The sequence below is a fragment of the Homo sapiens genome, chromosome 12 (assembly GCF_000001405.40).
Source record: "Homo sapiens chromosome 12, GRCh38.p14 Primary Assembly".
Taxonomy (NCBI): Eukaryota; Metazoa; Chordata; class Mammalia; order Primates; family Hominidae; genus Homo; species Homo sapiens.
The window spans coordinates 529,002-550,636 of NC_000012.12; the positions used below are offsets into that span (position 1 = coordinate 529,002).

At 52.7% G+C, this 21,635-nt stretch overlaps 1 protein-coding gene across 1 annotated transcript in view, besides 6 other annotated features; it reads left to right on the top strand.

Moving 5' to 3' along the window:
- Nucleotides 1-21,635, top strand: part of B4GALNT3 (beta-1,4-N-acetyl-galactosaminyltransferase 3) — a 103,571-nt gene that overhangs the window by 69,063 nt on the left and 12,873 nt on the right. Inside the window, exons 2-10 of the mRNA NM_173593.4 lie at nucleotides 6,165-6,268; nucleotides 7,217-7,294; nucleotides 15,338-15,433; nucleotides 15,881-15,971; nucleotides 16,368-16,468; nucleotides 17,645-17,712; nucleotides 19,023-19,101; nucleotides 19,230-19,296; nucleotides 20,768-20,911. Of these exons, the coding sequence (NP_775864.3) occupies nucleotides 6,165-6,268; nucleotides 7,217-7,294; nucleotides 15,338-15,433; nucleotides 15,881-15,971; nucleotides 16,368-16,468; nucleotides 17,645-17,712; nucleotides 19,023-19,101; nucleotides 19,230-19,296; nucleotides 20,768-20,911 (828 nt within the window). The remainder of the gene's footprint in view (nucleotides 1-6,164; nucleotides 6,269-7,216; nucleotides 7,295-15,337; nucleotides 15,434-15,880; nucleotides 15,972-16,367; nucleotides 16,469-17,644; nucleotides 17,713-19,022; nucleotides 19,102-19,229; nucleotides 19,297-20,767; nucleotides 20,912-21,635) is intronic.
- Nucleotides 5,434-5,933: an enhancer, noted in NCBI's record as "H3K4me1 hESC enhancer chr12:643601-644100 (GRCh37/hg19 assembly coordinates)". NCBI's record gives its function as "activates a minimal SCP1, AML or CMV promoter by ChIP-STARR-seq in primed H9 embryonic stem cells {active_cell/tissue: H9 hESC(primed)}" and the evidence as "EXISTENCE:reporter gene assay evidence [ECO:0000049][PMID:30033119]".
- Nucleotides 9,278-10,007: an enhancer, noted in NCBI's record as "H3K27ac-H3K4me1 hESC enhancer chr12:647445-648174 (GRCh37/hg19 assembly coordinates)". NCBI's record gives its function as "activates a minimal SCP1, AML or CMV promoter by ChIP-STARR-seq in naive H9 embryonic stem cells {active_cell/tissue: H9 hESC(naive)}" and the evidence as "EXISTENCE:reporter gene assay evidence [ECO:0000049][PMID:30033119]".
- Nucleotides 10,008-10,737: an enhancer, noted in NCBI's record as "H3K27ac-H3K4me1 hESC enhancer chr12:648175-648904 (GRCh37/hg19 assembly coordinates)". NCBI's record gives its function as "activates a minimal SCP1, AML or CMV promoter by ChIP-STARR-seq in naive H9 embryonic stem cells {active_cell/tissue: H9 hESC(naive)}" and the evidence as "EXISTENCE:reporter gene assay evidence [ECO:0000049][PMID:30033119]".
- Nucleotides 12,926-13,654: an enhancer, noted in NCBI's record as "H3K27ac-H3K4me1 hESC enhancer chr12:651093-651821 (GRCh37/hg19 assembly coordinates)". NCBI's record gives its function as "activates a minimal SCP1, AML or CMV promoter by ChIP-STARR-seq in naive H9 embryonic stem cells {active_cell/tissue: H9 hESC(naive)}" and the evidence as "EXISTENCE:reporter gene assay evidence [ECO:0000049][PMID:30033119]".
- Nucleotides 13,655-14,383: an enhancer, noted in NCBI's record as "H3K27ac-H3K4me1 hESC enhancer chr12:651822-652550 (GRCh37/hg19 assembly coordinates)". NCBI's record gives its function as "activates a minimal SCP1, AML or CMV promoter by ChIP-STARR-seq in naive H9 embryonic stem cells {active_cell/tissue: H9 hESC(naive)}" and the evidence as "EXISTENCE:reporter gene assay evidence [ECO:0000049][PMID:30033119]".
- Nucleotides 17,282-17,816: an enhancer, noted in NCBI's record as "H3K27ac-H3K4me1 hESC enhancer chr12:655449-655983 (GRCh37/hg19 assembly coordinates)". NCBI's record gives its function as "activates a minimal SCP1, AML or CMV promoter by ChIP-STARR-seq in primed H9 embryonic stem cells {active_cell/tissue: H9 hESC(primed)}" and the evidence as "EXISTENCE:reporter gene assay evidence [ECO:0000049][PMID:30033119]".

Here is a 21,635-nt window from a genome sequence, read left to right on the forward strand (position 1 = left end):
TTCACCCTGGATCCTCAGGTCCTTTGCATGTGGTGGTGTACATGGAACCAGCCCTCCCAGGCCTCTCCTTCTCCCTCGCTTTCCTAGGGCCCTGGTAGGGCCCGTCCTTCCCCTCTTGCATACCCTTGCCCAGGGACAAGCCCTTTCTAATGGAGCCCTGCCCCAAAAGAGCTTCAGAAAGACCTTTCCGCATCTCCCCCTGTAGGTGTCACCCCCACACCCACTGCTTCCACTTCTTTCTCGGGCTTACTCTCAGCCCCACCTCTCCTGTTGGCATTCATGAGTTGCCTCCAGGCTCCCTACTGATGGAGGGAGCTTGCTTTTGGTTGGGGTCGGGGTTAACCCTTTAGCTCCCTGTCTACCCCCTTGTGATGGACTTGCGCCATCCGCTGGGTTGAGCAGTCTCCACCCAGTTACATCTGTAGGCGGGCAACGTTCGTTTCCACACGAGCAAGCAGTAAGATGTGGAGTGATGGGTGAGGTGAATCTAACTCATTTGGGGCCGACGATACTACTCCCAGCGTAGATCAGCAGATGATTGGAACAGATTCTGGAGATATATATCGGGCTCCCTTGCCATTTACCATGAAGTGATGTGTGTGCACGTGGCACATTATCTGCAATTTTACTCAGTGAAATAAAACTCTTAGCATAGTGCCTTGTATATGATAAGCACTCGGTAAAGGTGAGCTGCTATGAATATTGCCATTATTACAACTACTTAGGAGCAAAAGCAATACATCCTGCCGTGTACCTTCGGTAAAGGTGAGCTGCTATGAATATTGCCATTATTACAACTACTTAGGAGCAAAAGCAATACATCCTGCCGTGTACCTTCGGTAAAGGTGAGCTGCTATGAATATTGCCATTATTACAACTACTTAGGAGCAAAAGCAATACATCCTGCCGTGTACCTTCGGTAAAGGTGAGCTGCTATGAATATTGCCATTATTACAACTACTTAGGAGCAAAAGCAATACATCCTGCCGTGTACCTTCGGTAAAGGTGAGCTGCTATGAATATTGCCATTATTACAACTACTTAGGAGCAAAAACAATACATCCTGCCGTGTACCTTCGGTAAAGGTGAGCTGCTATGAATATTGCCATTATTACAACTACTTAGGAGCAAAAGCAATACATCCTGCCGTGTACCTTGTAAAATGCCCTGTTGGGCATTGGCAGAAGTTTGAGCGTTGCTATGTCTTAGGCTGATTTAGGGAAGATTTTCCTGTCGTGAGCCATGGCCCTGGCGTGTGATGGGTCAGCTAGTTAGTCCTGGGCCTTTATTAACAGGGTTTAGGATTTATACTTACGTGAGAACTTAGTCTGAATTTTTTGTCTGCTAAGTTGAAAGTGCTTTGAAGGGTTTTAGCCCTGGAGTGGAGTTGGGAGGCTCAGGCCTGCAGTCCCAGCACAGAATCTGTAACACCAATGCCAGCCTGGGCAGCGAGAGACTTCCTTTCTCTTGGGTATGAATCACACCAGGCGTCAGGAGAAATAATTGTGAGTTCCAGATCTGCAGCATCATGACTAATGCAAATAACAAGCTGCCATGTGTTAAGGGCTTATTATGTTCTGGGTAATAAATCCTTGACACGGATTATCCCGTTCACTGTGTGGCCTTGAGCGGATGACTTTGCCTTTCTGTTTCTGTTTCTTCATCTCTAAAATGGAGAAGACAACACTTAACAGGGAGGTTGAGAAGAGCTAATGAAATAACATATGCGAGAGTCTTAGAAAAAAGCACAAGGGGATATATGCATGCCTTATTTTTACCAATGAGGAAGATGGTAATCTTCAGGCCTTTGAAGAGTCTGCATTGCACAGAGGAGGGATGTTGGCAAAGCTCCGGCTGATGGTGAATTTGATAGCCCAGCTTTGTGAGGGCAGAATATGAGGCCCACGGTGGTGCTTTATCTGTCACCTGAGATTGGGGTGTCTGTCTCCTGGCACAAATGTGACACCTGTTGTAGCAGAAACAGGCCCTGGCAGCTGGTGCTCTGGGAGAAGAGGTCTGGCTAGGAGCAGGAGGAGTTCGCTTACCAGAGGGTAAGCGACAAATGTCAGTAGTTAAATCAGCACATTTTTCAGCTCCACATTCCCCCAGGGGGGCTAAGCAATGCCTGGTTATTCACTGGCAGGATTAACACAGAGGCAAGGATACAGGAAGAGGAAATATCCCAATGCACAGCACAGCGCCTGACACCTGAGACGCACTTGGTGAATATTTATGGGGGATGCGGGAGGGTGGGGGGCAAAGAGCAACACTGTGAAACAAAGAGGGGGTGTTACCTATTGCCATACTGCCACTGCTGGCCCACTGCTGGCCCACTGCTTACTACTCTGGTCAATAACATGGAGAAGGCTGAGCACGGTGGCTCACATCTGTAATCCCAGCACTTTGGGAGGCTGAAGTGGGAGAATCACTTGATCCCAGGAGTTCAAGACCAACCTGGACAACATAGAAAGACCCCATCTCTAAAATTTTTTTTTTTAATTAACCAACTATGGTGGCATGCACCTGTAGTCCTAGCTACTCAGGAGGCTAAGGTGGGAGGATTTCTTGAGCTTAGGAGGTCAAGGCTTCAGTAAGCTATGATTGTACCACTGCATTCCAGCCTGGGGGATCCTGTCTCTTAAAAAAAGAAAAATAAGAAAAGAAGCATAGAGGGAAAAGAGTCAGAGAGATACTGAGTATTTTTTAAAGGAGTTGAAACTCATATCTTCCGACTCCCAAATCCAAAACCTCAAACTTGGAAATTTTTAGGAAGAAAACATTTATTGGGTACTAAGACCCCACGCTAGGTCTGGCCCACATAATTTAATCTTCACAGCAGTCCCTGTGGGGCAGGTGTTTTTATTTCCACCATTCAGATGAAGAAACCAGGGCCAAAGAAGTTAAATTGTTCAAGCAGTCACAGTTTATAATTGGTAGATATACAATTAGATCTTTATTTTTTATTATTTTTCTTTAAAAAAAAAAGGGAGGGTCTTGTTATGTTGCCCATATGTTGCTAGTCTCAAACTCCTGGGCTCAAGTGATCCTGCTGCCTTGGCCTCCCAAAGTCCTGGGATTCCAGGCATGAGCCACCACGCCAGGCCACAATTAGATCTTTCTGACTCAGAAGGCTTGCTTGTCTTCCTACTCTATCATGAGGACTGCAAAGGAATTTTCCTACTCCTTAAATCCATGAGGGTTGGGCTGTTGACTAGCCCAAGTTTTAGGTATCTCACAGCCACCTAGACTCACCTGTTACCCAGGGGCAAGACCTGACTGGGTTTAACTTCACTGAATTTCCTACCTGTAATCCACTCACCTCCCTAAATGGATTTGTCTTTTGTCACTGAGAGAGCTGCCTCTTACCTTCTGTTAAAGAGAAATAGAACTGCACACTAGTTACAGGTCGTGAAGATGGATTTTATCAAGTACTGCTGCAACATGGGAGAGAGGCTTCAGGACAGGACTGAGCTCAACTCTGAATACAGCAGCAATGACTGCTGATTTATAGCCAGCCAGCAGAGTTAAGGGGTCAGTGGTTGGAAAACGACTGAGACATCAAGAATGGAGGGATTCTTGCTGAACTGGCCTAATGGGACTCTTGCTAAAGGCAAGGGTGGGAGATGAGAAGCTTGGTCAGATGTTAGGGGGCGGGGGGTTCTACTAAACTGACCTAGAAGAATTCTTGCTGAAAACTGGACTAGGTAGGCCCAGGACAGGGCCCAAGGATGAGGTCTTGTAAAAAAGAGTGCTCAGAGGAGCATCTAAGGTTTGGTCAAGGAGAGAGTCCTTGTCACTTCCCAGCAGATGCCAGGACAAGGGCAGCTGAAGACCCACAATGCTAGTTCATTGTGAGGGTTAGTCATCTCCCCTTGGTGTGACTCCCAACAGTCAAGGACTTTGGCTGAGCTGAAGACCGTCTTCGAGAAGGAATGTGCACCTGAGACGCACTGTAACTCCCACTGATGGGGCAGGCAGCATTTCGTGGGTATTTCCCCACAAGCTTCTCTTGAGTAAGAAGTTTTTAGTCATAAGAATGAAGATGACCCAGTCATTCAGATGCAGGAGCAAGGCAGGGCCCATCCTCCTCCTCCCCACAGTGTAACTCATGTGTCACCCAGGCACGCCTGAACCCACAACTGCTAGCCAGCAGATCCTCAGGGCTGGGAAGGGATGAGCTCTTGCTTTAGATCATGTGTTTGGGTTGGGATTAGCAGATGAACAAGCAGTTTTCCCCTGAGCTCATCCAGAAATGGAGGGTATAGTCTGGGAGCATTCTTTCTCTTTCTCCCTCACTCCTCATATTTTCACATCACTTCAGTGGCCCCAGCATCCTGCTTCCCCAGAACACACCCCTGCCCTGAACTCGCCAGACCTCTTCCTGCCAGCTGGGCCAGCCTGGAAACAGGAGAGACCTTGATGGCAGAGGGATAAAGCTGCAGAAGTCCCTGCAACCATAACACGAGTGGAGGGTGAACATCTGCAGAAACCCAGAGACAGATCCCCTGCTGAGGCCTCTGCGCCGGCACTCCTCAAAGTCTATGCCAGAAAGTGACTACAGGAGAAATGTGGGCAGAATGAGAAAACCTGGGCCTGTGAGACAGGGGAGCTCTCTGTTCTGATCCTGCCTGCGGAACAACCAGCTCTGTGACTTCAGACTCGGAGCGCTCTTTCCCTATCTGTGAAATGGGGTCATGGAGCTGGCCTCTCAGGAGGTTCTTAGAAGGTTCAGATGAAATCACGCCTGTGGGACACTCAGTAAGCCGAAAGGGCCCACACAAAGCATAATCATGTAAGAAAAGCACTCTCACCCCACACCTGCATTTCAGCGTGCAGCCCCTGATCCCACCCCTCCCCAGGCCTGTTACAGAAACACTCGTGCATAGCGTGGGTGGCCACCTTCGGTGAAGCCCATATTCGTGGGTGGTGCTCTGTGTTCTGTGTCTGCGTGGCTGTCTGTGTCTCTGCTGGTGCTCACGTAGGGGTTCCTCTGTGACACTTCTGCCTACTGTCGACTCTTGGCTCCCAGGGGTCGGGGACTGTCAGGCTAATTCCGTCTAAGCAGTGCCCAGCGCAGCATCCTGGGGACATCGTGGTGAAGCTGTTGAGGGAAAGGGGAGCTCAGTGGAAATCCGTGGCACACTGGGGTCCTAGTCTTAGCCTTGCCACTACTTGCTAAGTGAGCCTTGATCAGCCATTTGACCAGTGTGGGTCCCATTTTCCTCACTTGAAGGGAGGATGAGGTGATCTCAAAAGCCTCTTTCGCTTCCAGTGGTCTACGGTTCTGGTTTGTGACTAACAGTGGTTTGGTTCCACTTATCCAAAGCCCAGCAATCTCCTCTGAGATGGGAGTCCCAGCCCTCGGGAGTGTCAGCAGTGGCCGGCCGCCGGACTGATTCTCCCCGGCCCTCACCCTGGTGCAGCCCCTTGCCTCCTGACTTGTGAATGCGCGTGCACCCCCCAGTTTCCTGTTCCCTCCCTCCCTCTCGCCATGGTTTGGCTTTTTGCCTTCCCAGGTGCGTGTAAGCCAACCTGGTCCAGAGCCTTCAGGGTACAGACAGCGTCAGCCACACGCAGCCTCCCGGTGACTCCAGTAATAGCAGGGCCTCTGATCTTGTATCTCCAGTGGTTTATACCTTTGTTTGACAGACATCACATCCCAGGCCCACTCTTTCCTGCCTCTCTCAGCTCCGGCTCTATCCAGCAACCCAGTGATCAGTGGTAGGGGGTCCCCACCCATTAGTAAGCCTCTGCTGTTCCCCGGGCTCAGGGCACAGAAACTGAGCAGGAAGGGAAGAGTGTACCGCCTGTCACGACCATCTCTCCACGGCAGCTCTCGGGATAAATTGGCCTCCAGAGGCAGCCGGGGGAGAACGAGCTGGTAGTGGGAGGCCCGTGGTCCAGGCTCACCTGGACTGGCTCCTTCTCTGGTTTCTGGAAGGCGGTGACTGCTGATGGGATGTAAGCTCATCTCCTCTCTCTGCCCTGTGGGCCTTGGCCAGTCTGCAGCTATCTCCTGCCCCCAGCCCAGCCCTCTTCCCACCCACCCTCTGAAGAGAGGTGAGAAGGGAAGACGGTTCCCTCCATTAACCTCCCAAATCTTTTAGGTGTATGAGGTTTCCAGGTTACGCTGACCTGAGGGCTCCTCTCTTCCCCTTCCACAGGGTACGGCAGCTGGAGAGAACTGGCCAAGGCTCTGGCCAGCAGGAACATTCCAGCTGTGGATCCACACCTCCAGTTCTACCATCCCCAGAGGCTGAGCCTCGAGGTAGGTGACCAGCCAGTCCATTGTCCCTGCTGATGCCTTAACAAAGGTCCGCAGGTGCTCTGCCCAGTTGCCTTAAGGGTAACCTCTGCTACTCTGGGAGGAGAGGCAGAGGATAAACAGCCCCCAGAGTCCTAGTCTGGCCTCAGGACCTCCTAGCTGAGCCTTAGAGATGTCCATCCAGCCTCCTCAAAGCCAGTAAAAGGAAACTTTTACTGGGGCTGCCACTGGGCCTGGTTTTCTGGTGTCTGCCCTCGTTCCCTAGTTCAGTTTGCCCGTGCCGGAACCACTCCGGGCCTGCGACCTCCATCACCAGTGGCATGTGGTGCCTCTCACTAGGGTGAGGGCTGGGCTGTGCTGTGCTTGCTGCTGAGATCAGAGGTGACGAGGTGGATGGACACCCCTCCCTGCCCGTAGCTGGGAGTACAGACTTGTGGTGGAGCATTTGCCTGCAGTGCTTCTTGAACCAATGGTCCCTAAGGAGGCAGATTAGAGAAACTGGGGTCTAATTCATTCAGGAGCCCCAAGGCTGAGCCTAGAACAGACATGGATTCCAGAGCTGGACCAGAGCCAAACTGAACCTGTGGACCTGCACAATAGGGAGGGTTTGGTGGTGTCCCTGAGGGGCTCCCACTTGTTGGAACCCAAATCTATACAGCTGGGGGATAAGGAGGAAGAGGGAGCCGAGGTCCCTGCCCTCAAGAGGTCCTGACCTAAAGAGGGTAAACTGCTTTCCCATATGGGGAGGACAGAAAATTCAGAAAAGTGAAGGAACCCGAGGAGCAGGCGCTGATGAAACTATGGAGATGTATTCCCAGGACATGGTGTGAATGACAGACGGCAGCGTGCTCCGAGCCGACGCCTCCTGGGAGCAGGCACTGTGCCTCCTGTCCTGCCCGTAGCTTCTCATCCTAATATTCCTACCAACTTCGTTCTTCATTCTTCCCCTAGGACCACGACATTGACCAAGGGGTGAGCAGTAACAGCAGCTACTTGAAGTGGAACAAGCCTGTCCCCTGGCTCTCAGAGGTGAGGGACTTTCTATTGTACCTGCCCTTTGAGAGAGCTAAAAAATAATGTTTACAGATAATTCCAGAGATCACAGAAAACTTTCTACTAGGGACCTTCTACCGTACCTACTCTTTGAGAGAGCTAAAAAATAATGTTTATGGATAATTCCAGAGATCACAGAAAACTTTCTACTAGTGAATTAAAAAAATTTTTAAATTATTTATTCAGTTAGTTTTTTGTTGTTGTTGTTTTTAGAGAAGGGGTCTCACTATGTCGGCCAGGCTAGTCTCAAACTTCTGGGCTCAAGCGATCCTCCAGCTTCAGCCTCCTGACTAGCTGGGATTACAGGTGGGCATTACTACACCTAGTTTAGTGATTTCATGAAAATTTTTCACTCCACGCGTTCCAGGTTGATTCAATTTCTCTCTTTAGAGAAGGAACAATCACATTTGCCAAAGGCCTACTGTGTGGCAGGCTTTGTGGATCATGTCATCTCAGCTTTGCGACCCTGTGGAATAGTATCATTATCCTCATTTTATAGGTGGAAAAACAAGGCTCAGGAAAGCTACAAGACTTTCATGGCCATGCCAATCCCCAGTCTTAAAGATAAGCATCCCAAACTGTCTTTCTTGGGCCACTATCTTAAATCCCATAAGATATTCCAGGAAGAAAAGAGTCCATTGTTAAATAAGCTTTTAAAACTATAATATACTACCTTGCCTTCCTGGAAATGTACATTAGCATATGAAAGAGTATGAGAAGTTCTGCAGCCATCTGTTTAACTTGGTTTAGCTCAGCATGTCTCAAACTGAATTGCTTTTTTCCATGAAATGCCTATTATACTCTATGAAACTAGTGCTCGAGGATCCATAGAAATGCTGTAACGAACATGCACTGGGAAACTCTGCTTTAGAAAACTTACAGGAAGCAGTTAAATGAATAAAAGTTATCAGAACCATCATAATATCTTTCATTTTTACAGGCTTTGATAGATTGTGTGTCATCTTTTGGTTTTTTATTTTTTAGAGACAGGGTCTTGCTTTGTTTCCCAGGCTGGAGTACAGTGACACAATCATAGTTCACTGTATCTTTAACTTCTGAGTAGCTAGGACTACAGGGATGTACCACCGTTGCCTGGCTAATTTTTAAAATTAATTTTTATAGAGACAGGGTCTCACTATATTGCCCAGGCTGACCTCAAACTCCTGGCCTCAAGCGATCCTCCTGCCTTGGCCTCCCAAAGTGCTGAGATTACAGGCATGAACCACCATACTTGGCCCCAGATTCTTTTTCTTTTGGTGAAGAAACTGAGGCTCAAGGAAGTTAATTAACATACACAAGATTACCTTGAGTAAATAAATCGTTATGTCAAGATTTCCGAGTAGCACGGTGCTTTGGGGATGAAAATTTTAAATTTGAGTTTCCTATTTTACAACTTGTTTAGAACCCAGCGTCTTTAGTCTCGAGGCCCTGCGGACACAGATTACTTTTCTTGGCTGGGTGGTACGGGCTAGCTCATTGTCTTCATCCATACCTATCATAGGTGGAGCTCTTCAGCCTGGGTGGTTTTATTTGGAATCCACCCACTTGCTCTGGGGCAGGAGTGAAGGAGGCAGTATTGTACTGAATGTGACGTTAGTTATCCACACTGTGAAACTACCTCCTTTTAAAGCCCTGGGAGAGGATGGATTACAATGCTGGCACACCTGCACTAGATGACATCACCAGGTAATTATGCCCCGCCCTACCTGGAGATAGTACTTTGAAAAGAACTTGCTTTACAGATCATTTGGTCTGGTGATCCAGCCTTCTCTCCTTTAAGGATAGCATGGATCCTTTTTCTTAATAAACCAATTATTTTGAAAGCTTATAGCGCCATAACATTCTACATTTATTAATAATTAATTTATCCACTTGTTTTTGCCAATCAAGGCCATATGTATAAACATATAATGAAACAAAAACAGTGAACAAATAGTAAACAGTGATCAAAATTGGGCTGGGCTTGGTGGCTCAAGCCTGGAATCCTAGAACTTTGGGAAGCCGAGGTGGGAGGATTGCTTGAGCCCAGGAGTTCCAGACCAGCCTGGGCAACATGGTGAGACCTTGTCTCTACAAATAATAAAAAAAAAATAGCTAGCCGTGGTGATGCACGCCTGTGGTCCCAGCTACTTGGGGGGCTGAGGCGGGAGGATTGCTTGAGTGTAGGCAGTTAAGGCTTCAGTGAGCCGAGATTGTGCCACTGCACTCCAGCCTGAGTGACAGAGTTGAGAACCCCATCTCAAAAAAAAAAAAAAAAAAAAAGAAATATTGGCTATTTTAGTAAGTGTGTATGGCCTTTTGGTGGTAAATGACTGATTTCCATTTTTAAATACTAAAAATAGCTTACAAAATATTCATTACAGTCTTCATGGATGTTCAGGGGTTCACTGATCCAATCCTCTTATTTTATCAATGAGGAGAATAAGGAAGGAAGGTCCTGGAGAGGCCAAACCACACGCAGTCACACAGCTGCATTATGGTGCCAGCTGGCATCCAGCCCAGCCTTGCAGTCTCGCCACATTCTGGGGACTTCTGTTCCCATCCCCTTGCCTGTCCTTGGCCAGCAGGAAGTTCCCAGGTTAATAATACACATCGTTTATTGAGCATCTACTACTGTCCGGGAGCTGTCAGGTTGTTCTGTTATCCCTCTTCCAGATAATGGCTCAGAGAGGTCAGCTCAGGGTCACAGAGTTAGTGCAGGGCCCTGCTAAAGGTGAGCAAGGGCAGGAGATGAGAAAGATGACGATGGCCTCCTCTTTCACTGTTTCCCTGCCCCGAGCTTTGGCTGGCAGCCCAGGGTCTCTGAGGCCAGAAGTCACTCCGGAGACTCAGCAGCCTCAGACGTTTTACTTGGTGCACCAGAGGCTGACTGATCAGATTGGATGGCTAGGGGCCTGGGCTTCATGGAGTGACTGTTTCAAAACTTGTTCACACCAACACTGATCACAAGACGCTCATTAACAAACCCCAGTGCCAATCTGTTCATGTGTTGGTAAATACACTGCTCCATTCACCAAAATGCTATGTCTGCCAGCCAGGCCACTCCCCAAACCCAAGATAGTTACAAGAAAGAAATTTGGTGAGTACAAAGTCAGATCAAAGCAAGTGAGATCAGAGTTCTCGTGGGTTGTTCACACAGGCTTTGAGAAGGCAGTGTCTCTCTTTTGTGGACAGAGCTGTGACACAGACTCCTTCCTGTTCTCAGCCTTTCCTTTAAAAAAAAAAAAAAAAAGAAAGAAACAGCTTTATTGAACTGTAATTCACATACCATACACTTCACCCATACACTTCGTTTAAAGTGTACAATTCAAGGCTGGGTGTGGTGGCTCACACCTGTAATGCTAGCACTTTGGGAGGCCAAGATGAGAGGATCGCTTGAGGCCAGAAGTTTGAGACCACCCTGGACAGCATAGGGAGACCCCATTTCCACTAAATAGAAAAATGAGCCAGCTGTAGTGCCGTGTACCTGTAGTTACAGCTACTTGGGCAGCTAAGGAAAAAGGATTGCTTGAGGCCAGGAGTTTGAGGCTGCAGAGAACCATGATTGTGCCACTGCACTCCAGCCTGGGCAGCGGAGTGAGACCCTGACCTTAAAAATAAAATAAAATAAAATAGATCGAGTACCTCGAAACTCTGAACAGGACATAGGAGTTCCTGGTGTGTAGGAACCGGTGACCTGATCACCCTGCTGTGTTCCTCCGGGGGAGGCCCCACTGCCGCATGAGTTAGAACTGAACCACTAGCCAGGTACCCTTGGTCTTGCGAGTTTGACTCTGGTTGAGTAGCAGAGGGTATAGCGGAAGCAGAGGGCCAGTCAGCACTCATGTCCTGCGATGGGCTTCCGAGTGCTCCTGGAGGAGGCTGACGGTGCCTGCCTTCGTGCGCCTCTGAACCTCGTACCTCTGCCAGAGCCCCTGGCGCAGGTGACACCCTTTTGTTTACATGTCTGCCTCCTTTGAGGACCAACCTCTCTTTCATCTTTAAGGGGTACAGTGCAGACACTCAGTGCTAATAGAATGGAGGAAGATACTGTTCTGGGCTTAGCTCCTCCAAGCGTTTGTTCATTTAAATAATTAGGATGTGCAGGGAACACAGGGGAGGGAGCTGTTCCCTCTGCCTGGGGACGTCATAGAAGGCCTCGGAGAGAACTATTTGAGAAGAGCTTTGAAGGATGAGCAGGAGTTTGCCACGTAAGGAAGAAATGAATGGGCCTTCTAATCAGGAAATTGCATTTGTAAAAGCATGGAGAAGGGAAACAGCATGACGATTTTGGCAAAGACAGGGTTTTGATGTGGGTGGAGCAAAGGTGTATGGCAGGGAGTGGTGTGAGGTGAGGCTGGAAAAGGTAGGTCAGACTCCGTGTGCTGGGTGAGGCTCTGTTCTGAAGCCTTCTGGGAAGCTTCAGAGGTTTTTTTTCTTCTTTTTTTCTTTTCTTTTTTTTTGAGACGGAGTCTCGCTCTGTCGCCCAGGATGGAGTGCAGTGGTCGGATCTCGGCTCACTGCAACCTCCGCCTTCCGGGTTCACACCATTCTCCTGCCTCAGCCTCCCGAGCAGCTGGGACTACAGGCACCCACCACCGCGCCCAGCTAATTTTTTGTATTTTTAGTAGAGATGGGGTTTCACCATGTTAGCCAGGATGGTCTCGATCTCCTGACCTCGTGATCCGCCCGCCTCAGCCTCCCAAAGTGCTGGGATTACAGGCGTGAGCCACCGTGCCCGGCAGCTTCGGAGGTTTTAAGCAGCAGAGTGACTTGGTCAGATCCGAGCTTTAGAACGAGAGTTCTGGAAGCGGTGAGGACTCCGTGTGGGGGAGAAGCTGAGATCCAGTTGGAGGCTCTGCTGCGGCCCAGTGAGGGCCCGGCAGGGCCGGTGGATATTCCTGTGTGACCCACACCCCTGCACGATGCCCTCCCCTCTCCCAAGGGTTACTTGCTGTGTGTCCTTGGGGAGTCAGTTTACCTCTCTGAGCTTCAATGTCCTCACCCTTAAAATGAGAGGGTTCCAACAGATATCTTCTCCAGCACTTCTGACTTTGGAAGTTTCAAAACCACCATTGGCCATAGACATGCTCTGGTGCTTGGAGTGACCAGTGCCCCTCCCTGGGCCTTAGTCACTGCTGGACAATGGAGCGAGTGGGCAGAGGGCAGGGCTGGTGTGCTGGAGTCCCACGTCCCTGCCAGATACAAAGTCTCCAAGACTCAGAGGGACACAAATCCTTGGGGGACGGGGTGGTTCTCATCCCAGGCCCAGGGAGGAAGAGGGTGCCTTCTGGCCCCTCAGAGACCCCCACCTACAGCCTGAGAGTGGGGTGAAGCATGGTTTGAGGGCTAGCCTAGTGCTGCACAAGGGCCTGGGCTTAGCCAGGTAGCTCCTCTTCCCACACTGCCAGCCTCTCTGCCTGGGGCTGCCTGCATCATCTGATGATCCCTTTGCTCAGGCAAGAAAGGCCCTGAGGGTGAGGCAGGAGTGGCCAGCCAGTGCCTCCCTCGGCCCTCCTCTCCCTGCCCAGTCCCCCCCCTCACCCCCCCCCACCCCCCCCCACCCCCCGGCCTCTGGCCTCCAGGCTGAACACAACAGGCTTCTCTGGTGGCATGCCCTCCCCCACTGCCCTCCCTCCTGGGATCTGTATCTCCTAGGGAGGGGGCAGAAAGAAGCCTTTGGAGGAGACAGCTGAGTCTTATAAACTGAACTTGAGGATTTTCCCCCAAAGTAGCACAATGTCCCCATTCTTTCCTTCCTTGAAGCCTTAACCCGCCACCCACCTACCCAGCCTACTTTCCCTCTCCCATCCGTTCCAGTCTCCCACTTCTGTTTCTGTGAGTAACGGCTGCTTCCCAAGGCCCACATTCCTGGCATTGACCAGGCCAGTGTGCCCCATTAGCGCCACACTCTGCTGCAGGGCAGGGAGAGACAGGTTCTCCTGCGTCTTTCTGGATCCAGCATTGAGGCAGTGTTCCCCAGAGGCTGCGCCCACCCCACCAGCCACACCTGGGACCTCGGGCACTCCTGTTGAGGAGTTATTCCCTGCCCCCTCCTCTCCCTGCCTGCCCATCCTCCCTCCTACAGATCTCTTGTAGAACTTGTGCCACTTCTTCTTATCTGGGTGTCCCCTCAGAGCTCCTAAGGGCAGCCCAGATTTTGCTATCTCGTGGGCATGGCGGGGAGGCCAGGGCAGGCTGCTGGTAGGGAGTCACCAGGCCCCACCTCCCACAACCTGGACAGAAGCCCTGGGGGAGGGGAGGACATGGGGTGATCCGAGGCCCACTGTCAGGATGATTGGCACAAAGTCCCCACACTTCCCCTCTCCTCTCAAATTTCCAGCCCTGCCACCCACTCAGAGTGCTGGCTCCTGCCTTCCCCCTTTCTGGGGAAGGGAGCCCTCTGCTCAGGGCCTCCAAGCCCAGTCCTGCAGAGGAGAAAGGGGTTCCAACCCAACTGGCACTGCCCCGAGGCTGTCCCAGGAGCAGCTTGCTCAGAATGAGTCTAGGAGGCCTCAGAGAGCTGTGGGAGACCAAGATGCTGGGAAGCCCAGATGGGCCCCAGCTCACTCCTGCAGTGCCTCCCAGCTGCTTCCCAAGGGGAGCCAGAAGCATGGAGACCACTGGGTAGATAAGGTTTCACCGGCAGACAGCTGTGGCGCTTTCCTCTCCTCAGGATCAGGGATGGGGAGGGGAGGAGAGCAAGTCTTTCCTGAAACCCCAGCCGGCTCCTCCTAGTTCCCTGTCCTCTCAGCTATTCTGTCACAACCATTGTCCCCGTTGCCTGGGGAATGAACACCAGCCCCCTTCCTGCATGGGAGGTCCAGGGAGAGTATGTGTGTGTGTGTGCATGGCCAGAGCAGACCTTGTCCCCAAGGCCAGGCCATGGGGTGAACATCAGCACCAGGTTCCTGAAAGAAGTGCTGGGTGCTGGGCTGGGAATGGGATAGAGTGGGCCGGACCCGCACAGTGAGAGGAGCACCGGCCCCTTTCTGCCCAGCCTCCCGGAGCTGAGGAGCTGGGATGGGCATGGGGTGGTCACGCTCCCGGAGCTGAGGAGCTGGGGCAGGCATGGGGTGCTCATCCTCCTGGAGCTGAGGAGCTGGGGCGGGCATGGGGTGCTCATCTTCCCGGAGCTGAGGAGCTGGGGCGGGCATGGGGTGCTCATCTTCCTGGAGCTGAGGAGCTGGGACGGGCATGGGGTGCTCATCCTCCTGGAACTGAGGAGCTGGGACGGGCATGGGGTGCTCATCCTCCTGGAACTGAGGAGCTGGGATGGGCATGGGGTGCTCATCCTCCTGGAGCTGAGGAGCTGGGGCGGGCATGGGGTGCTCATCTTCCCGGAGCTGAGGAGCTGGGGCGGGCATGGGGTGCTCATCTTCCTGGAGCTGAGGAGCTGGGACGGGCATGGGGTGCTCATCCTCCTGGAACTGAGGAGCTGGGATGGGCATGGGGTGCTCATCCTCCCAGAGCTGAGGAGCTGGGGCAGGCATGGGGTGCTCATCTTCCCGGAGCTGAGGAGCTGGGATGGGCATGGGGTGCTCATCTTCCCGGAGCTGAGGAGCTGGGGCGGGCATGGGGTGCTCATCTTCCTGGAGCTGAGGAGCTGGGACGGGCATGGGGTGCTCATCCTCCTGGAGCTGAGGATCTGGGGCGGGTGTGGGATGCTCATCCTCCTGGAGCTGAGGAGCTGGGGCGGGCATGGGGTGCTCATCTTCCCGGAGCTGAGGAGCTGGGGCGGGCATGGGGTGCTCATCTTCCCAGAGCTGAGGAGCTGGGGCGGGCATGGGGTGCTCATCTTCCTGGAGCTGAGGAGCTGGGACGGGCATGGGGTGCTCATCCTCCTGGAGCTGAGGATCTGGGGCGGGTGTGGGATGCTCATCCTCCTGGAGCTGAGGCTCTGGGGAGGGCATGGGGTGCTCATCCTCCTGGAGCTGAGGGTCTGGGGCGGGCATGGGATGCTCATCCCCCTGGAGCTGAGGATCTGGGGCGGGCATGGGGTGCTCACGCTCACTCACCACTGGCGTCTCCGCCCTGCAGTTCCGGGGCCGTGCCAACCTGCATGTGTTTGAAGACTGGTGTGGCAGCTCTATCCAGCAGCTCAGGAGGAACCTGCATTTCCCACTGTACCCCCATGTGAGTGCCTGAGGGCTGCCTTGCCCACCTCCCTCCACACCTGCCTCCTCTGCCCACTTCTGTCTCTCATCTTTCCTTACATCTTTTCTGGTCCATATTTTCTCCTTTATCTCTTGAGCTCTCTTTTTGTCTGCCCATAATAGTTCCCTTGTTTCCTTCCTAGGGATCCTTTCAATTTCATCCCCTGCATCATTTCAGTTTCAGGCTCTCTGGCTCACAATATAGTGTACCCAGGGCCACCATGTACAGTTGTGCTGGTTGTGCACTGTACAAGGTCTCCTGGACAAAGAGGCAAATGGGAACTGAAATTGAGCCTGCACTCCACTCACAAAGCCACAGCCCTGGTCCCTCCTGTCATAGTCCCCTCCTGGTCTTCCCGCCAATCCTGGCGGGAAGTTTCCTTTTCCCTCTTCTGGGTAACTGTTTCCTTCCCCTTTCTTGGCATAGATTCGCACAACCCTGAGGAAGCTTGCTGTGTCCCCCAAATGGACCAACTATGGCCTCCGCATCTTTGGCTACCTGCACCCCTTTACTGATGGTGAGGCCAGCCCCAAAACCCCATCCTTCTTCCTGCTCTAGAGTTCTGCATCGGACCCAAAGAACATAAGATAAGGTTATAGGTAGACTGGACTAACTTCCTGTTAGTCCACCCTCAGGAAGAGAGGGGAAATTGAGTCATATTGCGGTCTTGTCCAACTCCCACAGGCTGCTGCTTTGCTCCCTGGTTTGCAGCCTGGAACCAGCTCATCTCTCCATATAAGTCTTCTCCATCTTCACACTGTCTCCCAGGATGTAGAAACCCCCACTTTACAGAGAGGGAAGCCACAGCATCAAGCACTGAAGGGAATTTAATCGCTAAGACACTCACAAAAGCCTCCAGCTTTTATGCTGATGCCCTCCTTGCCCTCATCTGGAAACTCTCCCCGCTGCCCAGGGAAAATCCAGTTTGCCATTGCTGCAGATGACAACGCGGAGTTCTGGCTGAGCCTCGATGACCAGGTCTCAGGCCTCCAGCTGCTGGCCAGTGTGGGCAAGGTAAGGCCAGCTCAACCCCGGTCCCTCCCATCTGCTCCTGGAGCCTGTTCATTGAGTCCTCCAGCAGCTGCTCATTACTGTTAGCATCTCTGGTGTGACAGCGGGGAAGAAGGGGTGGAAAAGAAGTCTCCTCCCTCACCCCTACCCCTCTACAAAGGGATAAACTGAGGATGGGGAGGAGTGAGGAGTGGGGAGGAGCGAGGTGTGGGGAGGAGCGAGGTGTGGGGAGGAGTGAGGAATGGGGAGGAGCGAGGTGTGGGGAGGAGCGAGGAGTGGGGAGGAGTGAGGAGTGGGGAGGTGAGAGGAGTGGGGAGGTAAGAGGAATGGGGAGGAGCGAGGAGTGGGGAGGAGCGAGGAGTGGGGAGGTGAGGAGTGGGGAGGAGCGAGGAGTGGGGAGGTGAGAGGAGTGGGGAGGTGCGAGGAGTGGGGAGGTGAGGAGTGGGGAGGTGCGAGGAGTGGGGAGGTGAGAGGAGTGGGGAGGTGCGAGGAGTGGGGAGGTGAGAGGAGTGGGGAGATGAGAGGAGTGGGGAGGTGAGAGGAGTGGGGAAGAGTGAGGAATGGGGAGGAGTGAGGAGTAGGGAGGAGTGAAGAGTGGGGAGGAGTTGGGAGTTAGGGTGGGGAGTTGTGGGAAAGTGGGGAGTGAGAAGGAGGGAAAAGCGGGAAGGAGTCGGGAAGAGGGAAGAGGAGGGGGGAATGAGAAAGAGGGAGCAGTGAGAAGTGGGCAGGGGGTGTGAGAGGAGGGAGGGGGGTGTGGGAGGAGGGGAGTGGGGAGGTGGGGAGAGGAGTAAGGAGTGGGGAGGTGGGAGGAGTGGGGCAGAGAGTGCGGACAGGGAGGAGTGGGGAGCGAGTCTGAGGCTGGGGAAGGACCACAGCGATTCGGCTTGGGACACCCAGCGCAGCATCTCTGGGGCCCTCTGGCCTTGGCCGGGTGCTGACTCGCGCTGCAGGTCATCCGGCTGCTCCGGGCTCCTGGCAAGGCGGGCTGCCTCCTGCGTGGGCAACGCTCACTCCTTCACTCCCTTCTGTTTTCTCTCCTACCTCTCTCACCTTCATTCCGCCCGTCTTCCTCCCTTTTTCTCTCACTTCTTGGTTCTCCTTCCTGGTCTCGCACTCACCGCCTCGCGTGCTTCCTGTTTTCTCTGTTCCTCCCTCCTCTTCTCTCTTCCACACCTCTAGACTGGAAAGGAGTGGACCGCCCCGGGAGAGTTTGGGAAATTTCGGAGCCAAATTTCCAAGCCGGTGAGGTGAGTGAGGGTCAGGACAGGCGCTGTGGGCGCCTCGGTGCCTCGGTGGAGCCCGGCTGCGCCCCTGTCCGCCAGCCCAGCTGCCGACTCCAGAGCTTCCGTGTGTCCGGCACCCACACGCTCCCGGCAACCGGGTCTTTGGCTCAGAAGCCGCGAGCCCATCCGTCCTCGTTTCACAGATGGGGAAACTGAGGCCCAGAAGGCCGTGACTTATTGCAGGTCACGCAGCTCTTTAGTGACACGCGGGACTGGAAAATAGGTCTCCTTCCTCCCAGTCCTTGCCCTCCCCCGTTTCTCCACACCCACAACAGCCTGGACCCCGGACCGAGGTCCCCCTCGGTCGTCTGGGGACACGAGTCCCTTTCCCTTGCGGGGAGGGAGCGTAGCGCGGCCTCAGAGCGCCCCCTGGTGGCCCACGCGCGCTCACGCAGGCGGGAAGAGCGGGCGTTGCTGGGCGTTGCTGGACGTTGCTGGAAACGCTGGGAAGGACGGGCGTGGGGGTGAGGAGAGGTGGGGTGCAGACACAGCTAGATGGAAGGAATACGTTCTGATGCTCGACAGCACAGTAGGGTGACTGTAGTAACAACAATGGATTGTGTATTTTCAAACAACTAGAGAAAAAGATTTGGAATATTCCCAAAACATAGAATGCCAAGTGCTCCAGGTGGGTGAAGGGATCCTAAATCCCCTAGCTTGATCCTCACTCATCCTACGCATGCAACAGAAGGCCGTGTGCACCCCATAAATATGCACAAGGGTTACGTATCAATAAAAATAAATTTTAAAATTTTAAGGAGACAATCTTGCTTGCAAAGAGCACTCGCGTGCCAGCTGCCGTGGTGGGTACGCCGTGTGCAGCTCCGCAGAGCAGCTGGTGCGTGGTCCCTGGGGCAAGTCGGCCGGCGGAATCCCACCTCCACCCCTCATCACTCTGGCAGACTACCCAAGCCTTCTGTGCCTCTGTGTTCTCCTCTACGAACAAGGATTACATGAGGTCACATATTGAAAGCATTTAGAACAGTGTCTGCCACAGTCTCTGAGCTCTAACGGCTTCTGTTACTGTTCTTTGGGTTCTTCCGATCATCCTGTGGAGGAGGTACTCTGATTATGCCCATCTCACCAAGAGAAAACAGCTCACACTGTTAGCAAGTGATAGAGTGGGGGCTCGAACCTAGGCAGTTAACTCCTGGCATTCTAAGAGCAAGGAGAAGGGATGAGGGAGTGTAAGGTGCTGGAAGGGGGTGGGACAGAGCCGCGACCCCAGGGCCCATGGAGATGGCGCTCTGCTTCCCTGCCCTCTCTCCCGCCAGCCTGTCAGCCTCCCACAGGTACTACTTCGAGGTGCTGCACAAGCAGAATGAGGAGGGCACCGACCACGTGGAAGTTGCAGTGAGTTTCCTGCTGCTCCCGCCTCTCCCAGCTCAGTTCCTGGCACTCATCTCCCCTTGTCCCTTGACCCCTGTTGGAAATCCAGCTACCTCCCACCTTCTGCATCTACCCTCTCTCTCCTCTTCCAGTGGCGACGGAACGACCCTGGAGCCAAGTTCACCATCATTGACTCCCTCTCCCTGTCCCTCTTCACAAGTGAGTAGGCTCTGGCCCTGCCCTGGAGATGGAGGCCAGGTGGGGACAGCCTACCCTGGGGGATTTGGCAGGGGAGGAGGGGAGGAGGGGAGGAAGGAAGCTCGAGATGCTTGGGACACGGGTATGAAGGGGTCCAGAACAAGAGTGGGACCTTATGACCAGGAGTCCTTAACTCCCCAGGGTCAGTGACCCCTTTGAGAACCTGCTAGAAGCTCTCTGAGCCCTTGCCTCAGAAAAATGCCCTTGTCTACCCACCCACACACAACATTTTGAATACAACTTCAAGGGAGTCCAGAGACTGTGAGCTCACACCAGATCTAAAAACTCTGAGGCTGGGTGCGGTGGCTCATACCTGTAATCCCAGCACTTTGGGAGGCCGAGGTAGGAGGATTGCTTGAGCCCAGGAGTTCGAGACCAGCCCAGGCCACATAGCGACACCTCATCTCTACAAAAAATTAAAAAATTAACTGGGTGTGGTGGCGCATGCCTGTAGTCACAGCTACTGGGAAGGATCGCTTGAGCCCAGGAGTTCGAAGCTGAAGCTACAGTGAGCTGTAATTGGGTCACTGTGCTCCAGCCTGGGCAACAGAGCAAGACGCTGCCTCAAAAGCAAAACAAAACAACACAAAAAAACCCTCTGAGCGAGTCCAATCCCCTATTTTCCAGATGAGGTAACCACGGTTCTTGCAAAGCCATGGCCAGGGCAGAGGAAACCTGTTCACCTGCCTTCAGTGCACAGGAAGCGACCTCTTTCTTCAATGGCATTTTCCATTTCATATCATTTCCTCAGTGAGACTCCCATCCTCAGGCCCCGTTGAAAAACATGCCATCCATAGGCCTCCGTGGCAGGTGTAGACAGATGCATGAACCCGGGAGACAGAGAGCAAAGAAGCAGCCAGCCCCCCACCCCCCTTCTCTGTGGCTGCTTTAACCTGGATGCTGAAACTAGATCACCTGGCTTCAAACTCAGCTTGGCCACCCGTCTGTTGTATGATGTTGGGCAAATGACTTAGATTCTCTATGCCAAAGTTCCTTATCTGTAAACTGGGAATGATCGTAGTACAGAAGGCATGTGGTGCTTTTGGAGATTAGAAGGGTTCATATTTGGGATATTCTTAGAGCAGGGCCTGGCTTATTATTAAGTGCTCTGTAAGCGTTCAATAAATTAGGCGTACTTAATGCCACATTTCTAGCAGTCCGCAGTAACACATTTTGAGAAAGAGGTGTCTTTTTCCGAGTACGCAACACAGTCGTGTGGGTCAGCCGTGGGGCTGGCAGAGGGGGCCGAAGGCAGATGAATCGTGAAGCCACCGCTGTGGCGGGGGCCAGAGGGAGTGTGGCTGCGCACATCCTACACCGTCGCCGCTGGAGTCAGGAGCCCCTTCTGCGTCTCTTCCCTCCCCTTCAAGGGCAGTGGGCTGCTGCGCTCCAGGCCACACAGCCTCCTGCTTTCTTTCCTCCCTGCGCCCAGATGAGACGTTCCTACAGATGGATGAGGTGGGCCACATCCCACAGACAGCAGCCAGCCACGTGGACTCCTCCAACGCTCTTCCCAGGGATGAGCAGCCGCCCGCTGACATGCTTCGGCCTGACCCCCGGGACACCCTCTATCGAGGTAAGGCCTCGGCCAGCGCTTGGCGTCCTTTCTGGGGACACTGCACTGCCAGGTCCACTGCTGATGGTGGAGAAGGCTTGAGAGACCTGCCAAGTATCCCAATCACCGTAGAACTTTTTATCGTCCTTGTAACATAGAACATGCATACAGAAAAGAGAGCATGTAAATAAGTATAAAATATTTACGTGTAATTTTACAATTCTGCATATCATTACAGAGTGAACGTTTGTGGAACCACCACCCACAACAAGAAATAGAGTTAGAACCCGGAAGTCCCCCACACATCCCTTCCCAATCTCACACGTCCCCGCCTCTTACTGCATTCCAACTCTTGTCATCCAAGGAGAGAAATACGTGGACACCACAGTGTTAGAGTCTTAATGCATGATTCCTCTTGGGAGTGTTTACATTTTAAAAGACGGCCAAGATGGCCAGGCATGGTGGCTCATTCCTGTCATCCTGGCACTTTGGGATGCTGAGGTGGGAGGATCGCTTGAGCCCAGGAGGTTGAGGCTGCAGTGAGCTGTGATTGAACCACTGCACTCCAGCCTGGGTGACAGAGTGAGATCCTGTCAAAAAAAACAAACAAACAAAAAAAACAACAAAGTTTCTTTACTCCTCACCCCTCTCAAAAAAATGACAACTGACGCTAAGGGGATGTTCAGCCCATGGTAGGAAATCCAGTTATCGGTACTGTACGAGGGAGGGGACCTTCTGGCCTCTT